This window comes from Homo sapiens, chromosome 9 (assembly GCF_000001405.40).
Source record: "Homo sapiens chromosome 9, GRCh38.p14 Primary Assembly".
NCBI classification, from domain to species: domain Eukaryota; kingdom Metazoa; phylum Chordata; class Mammalia; order Primates; family Hominidae; genus Homo; species Homo sapiens.
Window position 1 is genome coordinate 41,531,929 of NC_000009.12, and position 12,222 is coordinate 41,544,150.

Sequence of the window (12,222 nt, forward strand, 5' to 3'; positions counted from 1 at the left end):
CTCTCTGCCTGGCTTTGCCAGAATTTGGAAACTATTTGTGAGAATATTTAATTTATGGCAATTCAGTTATTTTCATCAGTGCAATAAGAATACATTTTCTTTTGCAACAGGACACAATTGAAGAAACTGGTGGTTTTACCAAGGCTTTTACTGGAAGGGTATATGTTCCTTTAAGTCATTAAGCTGGACTTGCCAATAAAAGTTCCTTGGGAAAACTGGCTATATACCTTGTCAACACAGTCCTTGTACAAGGTTCCTAACCCATGGGGAGTAAAGCATGTCACTTTTTAACAGGCTTAGGAGTCTGTTAAAAAGCTCCTGGGCCTGTTAAAAAGCTTGTTCTTGGGACATCAAGAAGAGAATGATTTACCAAACTTGTAGATATTTGAGGGTGGAAACCCTTGGCTGGGCTTGGCCTTAAAAGGTCTTAACTGAGATGCCTTATGGAACAGAGTTCCATCAAAGCCAATTTAAAAGCCTATGGGAAAAATAATTATTCTTTTTGCACTTTATGCAAATAAGACAAGTATAAGGCTAAAGTTTATTTTTTCAAACAACTGAGTCCTATCATGATTTGTTTTTGACAAAAATGAGGACTGGAGAGAGAGAAATTATGTTTCAAAACGTATTCTACATTTGTCATTACATTATAATCCCATTAGTTGTTTTTAAGTTTTTGCCTACATTTTAGACTACCCTGCTTATTCCTGTGGACCAACCAGCAATGTACGGCTGCAGCTCAAAAGAACCAAAGGGATGAATAATATAAAAAATCTGGATCAATATTTTAATTCTGAACAATTATCCTGCAAATCCTTCCAGGTGATCGGAGTAAATAGGTGCCCATAACCCAGAGATTTCTTTGTTTGGGAAAATAAGACCAAGGGAGCTAATCAAAGCCAAGCCCCATGAATACAAACCTTAGCAGGCATAACTATAGCCACGAGTTATCTGGCTGTATTGGCAGCCTTGAGATTTTGTTTTGTTTTGTTTTGTTTTGAGCTGTCCTTATCCCTTTGTTTCATTTTGAATATGTCTTCTAATAACCCAAATTGTTTCTTCTCACTTAAAGGCCGTTCAACATCAAATGGTGATGCAAACAGAACCACTCATGAACACACCGTTCTCTTTGGGGACCCTTAAACTGACCTCAGGAGGAGCCTTAACTGCCACTTTCCCAAAACAGCACCCCTTGTCAGCAGGAAGCAGTTAAGAGCAGTCGTTGTACACTTTCCCCAACAGAATTTGGGGTCTCCACTCCTGAAGGGAGGAATGAAAGGAGTCAGCCAACTTGCTTTAGGGAGACAGTCAGGAAAGGGTCCCCTGGAGAACCTCTTACCCACCCCCCAGGTGTTTATACCAAATATTTTGTGCGGATAAGCGTACTTGCTAAGGGAGCTTGCCTAAACATGCCCATAGTGGAAAATTTCGTTCCTTAACATATGTGCATTAAGGGAAATAAATCAATATGGAGAGGCACAGACTAAGGGCCCACTTAACTCACTGGAAAGGTGGAGTGGAGCAACCAGGAATTCATGTCTCATACAACCAGGAATTCACAGCCCTATCAGCTTGTATAAAAATGTCCTTGTTGCCGGGTGCAGTAGCTCACACCTGTAATCCAAACACTTCAGGAGGCAGAGGCGGGCAGATCACTAGAGCAGGAGTTGGAGACCAGCCTGACCAACATGGTAAATCCCATCTCTACTAAAACTACAAAAATTATCCGGGCCTGGTGACATGTGCCAATAATCCCAGCTATTCAGGAGGCTGAGGCAGGAGAATCACTTGAACCTGGAAGGCAGAGGGTATAGTGAGCCAAGATCACGCCATTGCACTCCAGCCTTGGCAACAGAGTGAGGCTCTGTCTCAAGAAAAAAAAAATGCCCTTGTATTCAACTGTTAAGGGGGCAACCAAGAACTTCATGTCAGGACCCCTCTCTTTGCTGAGAGCTTTCCTTTCACTAAATAAATTCTACTACACTTACCCTTTGAGTGTCCATGTGCCTACTTCTTCAGAACTTAGGCCTAGCTGGGCTAAGGAGCAAAAAACCCTGCATCATATCTCAAACTCAACCTTTAAGTTTTTGTCCTACTAGTCTCCTTCACATTTTGCAATACATTAAAATTGCTTCAAGGTTTTTTCAAAATGTGTTTTTGGTAATTCTGCTAATTTATGCTGTTTAAAACATCCTGGCTGAATGATTTCAAATAAATTTTATAACATCTATTTCCATTTTTTTTCACTCAGTACATATGAATCCACTGTTTAATCCAAATTTAAAGTAACAATCATTAAAGTAAATTAAAATGGAGTCCAGGCCTGAAGAATTTCTGAGCAGACAAAACCAGTTAGGCATCATAAGTGATCTAAACCTTGTTTGATCTACAGATATAAGGGAAACTTGAGCTATTCTTATCAATTTCTATATTAAAGAAAAACAGAACTTAAGTTCAACCAATCAGAAGTAGCCAACACACATAATCATACAACTGAAGACTTTCCAGTGGGATAGACCTAATAACGTACAACTTTGGTACCAAATAAGGTACAAATAACTGTACAACTATAAATAGTCAAATACTATCTTTAGTTTTCTTCTGTGCCTGTCCTCTAAAAGCCTCCCCCTGTGATCCCTCAGTGGTGCTCTTAAGCCACTTTTATGGTTTGGAGCTGCCTGAGTCATAAATCATTGTGTAAATAACATATTTAAAATTTTATTGTGTCTTAGTTTATCTTTTAACACAGTGGTCCTCAACCCTTGGTTATGAGCTATGGCTTGTTAGGAATCAGATCATACAGCAGGAGGTGAGCGGCAGGTGAGTGAGCATTACCACCTGAGCTCTGCCTCCTGTCGAATCAGCTACAGCATTAGATTCTTATAGGAATGTGAACCCTATTATGAACTGAGCATGCAAGGGATCTAGGTTGTGCATACCTCATGAGAATCTAATGCCCGATGATCTGAGGTGGAAAAGTTTCATGCCTGTATTAGTCAGGGTTCTCCAGAGGGACAGAACTTATAAGATATATGTATATATGAAAAGGAGTTTATTAATGAGAATTGACTATATGATCACAAGGTGAAGTCCCATGATAGGCTGTCTGCAAGCTGAGGGGCAAGGAAGCCAACAAAGGCTTAGTTCAGCTACAAAAGCCTCAAAAGTAGGAAAGCTGGCAGTGCAACATTTAGTCTGTGGCCAAGGGCCTGAAAGCCCCTGGAAAACCACTGCTGTAAGTTCAAGTGTTCAAAGCCTAAAGAACCTGGAATCTGATGTCCAAGGGCAGGAAGCATCCAGCACAGCACAATGATGAAAGCCAGAAGACTCATTAAGTCAGCTTATCCCACCTTCTTCCACCAGCTTTGTTCTAGCCAAGCTGACAGTCAATTGGATGGTGTCCACCCACATTGAGGATCGGTCTTCCTCTCCCAGTCCGACTCAAATGTTAATCTCCTCCAGCAACACCCTCACTGACACACCCAGAAACTATTCTTTACCAATTATCTAGGCATCCTTCAATCCAATTAAGTTGACACCTATTATTAACCATTACAATCCTGAAACCATCCTCTGCTCCCCTGTCCGTGGAAATATTGTCTTCCACAAAACCAGTCCCTGGTGCCACAAAGGTTGGGGACTACATAGAACTCAATGAAATGAGAAGTAGTTTCTGATTCAACTAATGTCTGTTAAGTGATTCTCTCTATAGATCCAAGTATTATGAGCAACCTCACACAATCACATTCATGAGATTTCTATTACTCTGTGTGTTGGACTTCAAGGAAGGAATGGAATGCCATCATTAGGCACCAAATACTTCCACTATTGATTAGCATTGAGATTTTTAGTAAATATTTAGGAGTACTGGGGGATGAAGGAGAGACAACACTATTTATTCTTGTACTAGAATACTCATTTCTAATGCCTATAATTAAATCAATAGGAAAGTTATTGAGAAAATCTGGGCATTTTGAGATAGTTGAAGAGTAAGTATTCCATATGTATGTCAGTTGAAAATTATTTTTGCTATTTGCTTTTGAAAGAATATAACAATGTTAGCAAATGAACAAGGTAATTCCTGGCTGAATTATATAATTATTTACAGTACTCCCAAAGATATTAATCTATTACCATTATAAGTAATTCATGGGGAATGATATTAAACAATAGATAAAATATCAAGTTAATGTGTTTCAGGACATCACTCACAGCATAATGAAAAACTGACTTACTTCTGTATTTCAATAGCTTCAATACTCATTCAACATTACTGTGCATTACAAATCTATTGGTAAATTGCTTGCGAAAATAAGACTGAAAACAATTTTAAATTAAGTGTACAAATTTTTCTCTTTTTCTTTTGAAATAATTAATATTTTATTTTATTACTATAGTTTCCTTTAACTCTATAATTTGAACTGAGATGTTTGGAGAAAAAGTATTTTTAAAAGAATTTATAACAATAAGAATAACTGTTAGAATGCCAGTCCTATCAAGAAATGTTAGAAATATATAAGCAAAACTCAAAAGTAAATATCACTGTCTGTCTAACCATATTCCATGCATATCTTCTACTACTGTTCCCCAGAATTGTCTGTTTTATCATTTCTCTTGACTTTTGATACATTTATTCATATATCCTCCATCCTCACTTAGTCCCTACTGTTTGTACTTCGGCATCATATCAACCCTATCTTGCCACTTAAAAGACAAAGTAATACTACTTTTTCAGTTTTTTTTCATTTAATGTAAGAAGTTATCATTTCCCCAATAGTGAAATGATGCAAAATGATTATTTGATGTATTGTCCAAATGGGTTCAGGTTTGTGACAGTCTCAAACACATCAGGGAGTAGGGACACCCTTCAGTTAAAGCACAAAGTTGTATTTTAATCTGTATTTTATTTTTAAAAAAGATTTTTTCTCAATATCACATAAACATCAAGCTCTTTATTTTACCTCTCTATTTACTTATTTACACGATTTAAGATTGAACATTTTTCATTATCAAAATTATTTTCAAAATATGTGTAAAATTGTTGAAATCTTAATTTTTCCAAAATGACAGCTGACTCCTCTTAAAGGTAATGGGAATCTTAGAATGTTATTTGCAAGTCAGTCTACAGCATTCTTTTCATATATAAAATGTTGTGTACTAATTTTTGAAATATTTGTAAATTAAATAGGTCATTTTTCTTTCAGGAGAAAGGAGACTTTGAGAGATTTTTGTGCAGGAGAAGAGTAGTTTTAAAAATAGGTAGTTTGCAATAGGGCAGACTAGTTTTAAAACTCTAAAATGAGAGCAAGTCAATAAGAGTCTCTTGATTAAATCTAGTGATCTTATTATTTATTTATTAATTGACATGTAATAATTGTACATATTCATGGGGTATAATTTCATACCTGGATACCTATCCATGTTGTATAATGATCCATTCAGAGTGAATCTATTATCTTACATATTTATCATTTCTTTGTGGTGAGAACATTCGAAGACAACTCTTCAAGCTATTTTGTAATATACGATATTTCACTGTTAACCATACTTACTCTACGTGCAACAGAACACCAGAATTTTTTGCTCTTATCTAGTTGTAATTTTATACCACCAATCAAAGTTTCCTCATCCTTCTTTTCGTCCTCCTGTCTTTAGTCTCTGGTAACATTTTTCTACTCTCTGCTTCTATGCTATTAACTTTTTTAAATGTTTGTATTTTCTTTTTTTTTTAGACTCCACTTATGAGTGAGATCATGCTGTACTTGTCTGTCTGTGTCTGGCTTATTTCACTTACCGTGATGTCCTCTAGATTCATCCATATTGTCATAAATGGCAAGATTTTATTTTTTATGGCTAAAGAGTACTTCATTGTATACAGATAGTGCATTTTCTTTTTGCATTCATCTGTTGCCAGACACTTAGGCTTATTCTGTATCTTGGCTATCATACATAGTGCTGCAATAAAAATGACTAGGTGCATTGCAATTAGCTTTAAAAAGATGGAACGGCATTGTAAGGACAGACCATGAATCTAAGCCCTTAGGTTGAATACTTAGGTTGAATAAAATTGTTGGAAGAAGTGGCTATTTGATGTATGTAATGAAAGGGATTCTTACTTGGCGGGTATTATTAGGAGAAAAAAAAAGAGAGAGAAAGTTGAAGGAGAGGGGAAAACTGCCACAGCAGGTTAAGCAACTTGCTTTAAAATAATTGGGATTAGTAAGTGTGCAAAGATAGAACTGGTGATGAAAGAGTGAGACTGGAATTAGAAATTAATTTGTAATACTAATGTTGCAGGTTGGGTCCTGGTTATGAGATTAAGTGGATGCTCATTCTTTGGAGCTATAACTGTGACCAGTGCCACATTAACAGATTTAGAAAATATGAGATTAACTATGAAGGTACAGAAAATAAAGGTATTAAAATTCTTTCTATATTTTAGATCTAATTGTTAATAATATAGTATATACACATCCATACTATATTATATATGTATATTACATATATAATAACATATATATGTGAAAAGCTATGGTAAATAGAAAACATTAGCTGGGCATGGTGGCTTATGCCTATAATCCCAGCACTTTGGGAGGTGGAGGCAGGAGGATACTTGAGCCCAGGGATCTGAGACTAGCCTGGGTAATATGGCAAGACCATGTCTCTACAAAAAGTAAAGAAAAGTAGCTGGGCCTGGTGGCACACACCTGTCATCAAAGCTACTCTGGAGGCTGAAGTGTGAGGATCACTTGAATTCAAGAGGTCAAGGCTGTAGTGAGCTGTGTTCCAGCCACTGCACTCCAGCCTGGGTGAGAGCACAAGACCTAAAAAAGCACAAGTCTAAAAAAAAGCAAAAGAAAAAAGAAACATTATTGAGGAGAAGAGATAAATAGAGTCTTAGAAATTTGAATTGATACATGAGTAAAGAATGACCCAATTATTTTTTACCAGGAATGGGAAAATAAATTTTATTCAAGTCCACAATATAGTTTTTAAAGCATAGACAATATAATACAGGGGTTGGGGGCGTGGTTACAACAATGTTAGAAACACTGAAAGAGCAAAAGAGGCCTGCTACTCCAGATGATGAGCAAATGAAGGAAGCCACTTCCATCCTTAACTGTGAAAAATGAGTAGGAGAAGGTGGTGCATTCTGGGTCCCATGATTCCAGACTGACCATTGGCCCTATTTGAGCGCAGCTGCCGTTAGGCAGAAACTCTGGACTCCAAACTCTCAGTAAAACTTCTGAAGACACTGTTGTTGCTATTGCAGCTGTCAGCACCATTGATTCAGCTGAGAAGCAGCACAGAATATCACACTGACACCCACGCTGTTGGTTGTGTTTTTTTGAACCAGATTGAAATTAATATCTATTGTATGGTTCAATTTCTATGAAGTTCAATGTCAAGCAAATGTAATTTATAAAGATAAAAGTAAGAACAGTGGTTGCCTATAGTAATGATTGGAGGTTCACAATAGAGACTCCTGGATTCTAGTAATACTCAATTCATATTCATGTAGGTTGTGATGACATTAGTATTTTACGTTCTAAAAATGTTTAATGCTATATGCTCAAGATCTGTGTCTTTCACATGTGCATATCATATTTCATATTTCAATTAATAAATCAGTAATAAAAGTTCCAGTTCAGGATACAATACTGTAGAACAATCCAAAATATTAATTTATTCCTAAAGTTTTAAAAATATTAGAATAAATACGGATCATTTTGTTAAAACAGTATGGTAAACCTAAATGTAAAAAAAAATTAAATTGAGTTAGGAATTTCAAAAAGACATTTCATGTACCTTTTCAACTTTCAATTTCATATGAAAGTTGAAAAAACTTGAAATCAGTTAAGTGTGCATGTGTATGTAAAACAAAATTACTGCATATAAAAACTTTTTTGAGGCATCTAGAAAATATTTAGCAGTGTGCCATAGTTTAGAGGCATTTTAAAATGCTTTTTAGTGGTACATAAAAAATTAATTAATGACAGAGTCTATGAAAAACAAGTAGAGCAGCTTGAAATAATTCACATATTTTTCATGTAAAAGTTTTAGGAGAAGTCCAGTGATGTCACGATAGCTCTACGATGTTGATTTATTTTGTCGCTTTTATATGCTTATTTTATATATAAAATAGCTGAAAACAGCTATGAATTCTAAAGCATGGTAACAGGGGTAAAAGGTCACACACATTTCTTTTAGATGCTGCAAATATTGCTTCTGTTCACACGTTATCGTCCAAAACTTAGTTACATTGACTCATCAAAGTGCAAAGAGGCTGGTAAATGTACTTTAATTTGCTAAATGCCTTGCAAGATATAGGGATGTATATTGAGAAGACAAAGAATGGAAGTGAGAATTACTTGTTATTTTGACTTCCAACTATCGGAGAACATTCCCAAAGAAATATTATACTAAATTTCTGCCTGAATAATTATTTCAGCATCTCTTTCATGGTCTTTGCTTAAGGGCAGTGCTTCCAGCTGAGGCTGCATACAGTCTCATATTCCATAGACTAACTGTCTAGGGTAATTCAGACTTATAACCTAAGTTTATGTTACAGCTTTTCTAACTTATGTTCCTTTGATGGAGTTTATCCTCATTGCCCCACCCCCCAAATGGTTTACTAATAAAGTATAGTCTAAAACAGAAACATTATTCTTTTTATATTCTTTAATCTCCATTGAAATAAACACAATTTGTAGAATTATTAACTAATACAAATTAATTGAAAAGAAGCATCTTTCTTTTATATGAACAATGACATAGTTCAAATTTATCCTGAAAACAGTTTTAAGCACAAGTAATTACGCTGAATATGTAAATAACCCATTTATAAGTAGGTCAATAGGAAAACATTTCAACAAATTTCAAACTTGATATCATTTCTAGATCTTATGAAATAATGGAACATGTTTTGGAAGGTAAGAGAAGTTTACTTAGCCAATAATAACAGGTCTCAATCAATTATTTTTTAACAGCTAGTTTATCCCTGGATATACCTTACTATATCCTGTTTTTAGATATGGCATTTGAAAACCTCCAAGAATATAGATATAATTTTAATTGAGCTATTATGGTTAGTATTTATTTTTAAAGTTCTGAATTTTTTTAAAAAATTCAATTTCTATGGTATATTAACAAGATTGATTGGAATAATGCATTTTTTTAATATGGTGGGTTGGTGATATGTTTTTCTTCTGAGAAAGAAGGCTGTTCATAATCTTAAATTATATTAGGTTTTAGAAACAACAAAAATTGTGGGATTCCCTTAATGGCTTTCTTGCACTTGAGTTCTAAAATATTTATCAATCTCAAATATATTTTGCATTATGTTGAAAAATGACTATTAATAGTTTCTGCTAAAAGGAATTATCAACTTTTTATGCATCACCATTTCCGAGTTGGGCTTATAAAAATATCAGTATCTGTCCTACATATATACCAATGTTTTTCAATTTTTAGTCAATTAAATATGTTTCATTGATTTTCTGCTGTGTGCCTAAAATTGTGCATGATGATATTATAGAAGGTACTGTGAAAAGGCTTAAAGCAGTATATTTAACCACTGCCTACCAGAGTAGTACATAGAGAAGCAAACCTAATCTATAAGCAACAATGAGAGCGTGCTACAGATAACTTTTAATATTGTAAATATATATGATACAGATGATAAAATCTTTATGAAATAATCTATAGGAGAGGTGAAATGGGTCTCTGCCAGGAGAATGCAAAGGCAGTAAAAAATTAAAAACCAAAATATTGAGAATTATTTTGAGGAAAGTGTTAGTAGAATTTAATAATACATTTAATAGAAACATAAGATTAAAAATGCAAAGATGAATTCAAAGTTGCTTACATTCAAAAATAACTCATTAAATGTACAGTATTTTAAGCACACTTTTGATCTATGAAGAGTATAAATATGAATAAGACATAGTTCTTTAGGCTAGACATAGAGAATATTTTTTGTGCAGAAATAAAATCTAGAGTATGTAATATTAGGGGAAAGAAAATGCCTCATAGATGTCAATAAACCTTGTTCCCTCTATTTTTTTTTTACTGGTTTCATTTCCTGTAATAATTGTGGTAACAGTAATGCTGAAAAAATTAAACCTCCAACTCTTAAAACAATAAAAGTTATTGCTTGCTTAAATAATAGGAATGCTATCTGTGATTTCCTGCAGGGTCATTCAAAGATTTATTATTTTCCCATCTGTGGTTTTGCCATCCTCAATACATAGCTCTTGGGGGTTTTCTGTGGATTGTTTTAATGTTAGCCAACCAGAGAGGATAAAAAGAGTGTTAAAAATTATTAATTCTGGGTCTATGTGACCCTGTAAGAAGGCTACATCACTACTATATACTTAGAACCTAAATTTCTATGCCAAAATATAGGCGAATATAGCAAATATTGTCCAAATTTACAAGGAAAGAGAAAATGAATTGTGTGTTCATCTTACAGTTTCTAATAAAATCCCCAACATTGAACTTAAATGACTCTCCAGTTGTTCATTAGGAGCATATGCTGTTGGTTGACTGCCAGCATACATTATCTCACCTTTTCTTTCTAAAATAGAACATATTCAATATATCCAAGGCTTCTAAGGCTTCAGTACTTCTCTAAGTTTACTGTCTCGTCTTCAGATTCAGGTATGATGTGATTACTCTAAGTATAGCCTGATTCTTTGCCAAAAATAAGAACAAAAATACGCATATGGCCCAATTCAGTACAAAGGCAAATCAGGGCAAATTACCTTAAGAGTTTTTAAGATAAATGTTTCTCTTGGTGTCTCTTTCTTGGTCTTCTGGGTAAGGTTGTATCTGAATATGATGACCCTAAATGTCTGCAGACATTTTTGCAGAAATGTTAAGGGTAAAAGTGACACAGCCAATAGCAAAGAAGTGCCAGAAAATATGTAAGCAAACTGTGACCTCTTTTTACCTCTTGATTGACTTTTATGTTAAATAATGAATTTACCTTATGCTTGAAAGAATTTGAAATAGTATTTGGCAGTGAAGAATTTACTCCTCCCATATTTTCATTCAAGAGAAATTTCCATGAGGAGGGTTGTTGGTGGGTTACCTCCAACTCAACCACTTCAGAGCTACTACAGTGGTAATGCGTGTTGAAGAAAAGAGTCAAACTCTGAGAAATATTTGAAGAGATTTATTCTGAGGCAAATATGAGTGACCTCGGCCTGTCACACAGCCCAGGAGATCCTAAGAACATGTGCCAAGGTTGTTGGGCTACAGCTTGGATTTATACATGTGAGGGAGACATAAGACATCAATAAGTACACCTAAGATACACATTGGTAAAATTGGGAAAGGTGAGACAACTCAAAGCAGGTGGGGGTGGGGTGGGTGAAGGCTTCCAGGTTAAAGGTGAATTCGAAGATTTTCTGACTGGCATTTGACAACTGGCTAAAATAATTTATCTAAAGACCGGAATCAATAGACAGGAGTGTATGGGTTAAGATAAGGTGTTTTAGAGACCAAGGTTCTTATGCAGATGAAGCTTGCAGGTAGCAGGCTTCACTGAGAATAGATTGTAAATGATTTTTATCAGACATAAAAAGGAAAAAGGACTTGGAATCAGGAAAAATCAGGAAAAAGACTTGGAAAGAGAAGGGGATTCTCTACAAAATGGAGATTTTCCCCACAGAAACAGCCTTGTAGGGCCATTTCAAAATATGTCAAAGAAATGTATTTTTGTGGTGAAATACTTTGATTTCTTTCAAGGCCTGCTATCTGTCATGTTGATATCTTATTGCTACGAAGAGTCTGTTTTGTCATTCTTAAGTCTCTACTTTAATGTTAACACTGTTCAGCTATGCATGAATTCCGAAAGGATGAAAGTAAATAACGAGGCATGTTCAACTACCCATTTCCGTCATGGCCTCCATTACTGTTTCAGGTTTAGTTTAAAATGCCCTTGGCCAAGATAAAGGGCCCATTTAGTTGGTTAACGGACATTGAATTTTATTTTTGGCTTACATGCAGGTGCCATGCTCTCCTTAGGTTGCTCCCTGCCAATGCTGAGCAAGGAAGATATTATAGGGCTTTTCATTCTTGTCCCACATGGACTCATCTAAAGGTCAAAGTTCACTTTGGTGCTCTTTCAGTGTGGCTGACAATTTCTCAGATCTGCACTCTTCTCTGAGGCTCCTCCTTTCCAATTATCTTTCATGCTCTCTCTTCTTTTGAGGT

At 35.2% G+C, this 12,222-nt stretch overlaps 1 long non-coding RNA gene across 3 annotated transcripts in view; it reads right to left on the reverse strand.

Annotated features, from left to right (window-relative positions):
- The window catches only part of LOC105376065 (uncharacterized), an 82,523-nt gene that overhangs the window by 48,741 nt on the left and 21,560 nt on the right, over nt 1-12,222 (reverse strand). The window contains exon 1 of one of the 3 annotated variants that reach the window (XR_007061515.1): nt 6,708-6,749. The exons of 1 other annotated variant lie outside the window; for it this stretch is intronic. This is a non-coding gene — a long non-coding RNA (uncharacterized LOC105376065). Of the gene's footprint in view, nt 1-1,149; nt 1,230-6,707; nt 6,750-12,222 lie in introns of those variants that run through there. One more of the 3 variants, XR_007061518.1, reaches the window with a different exon arrangement.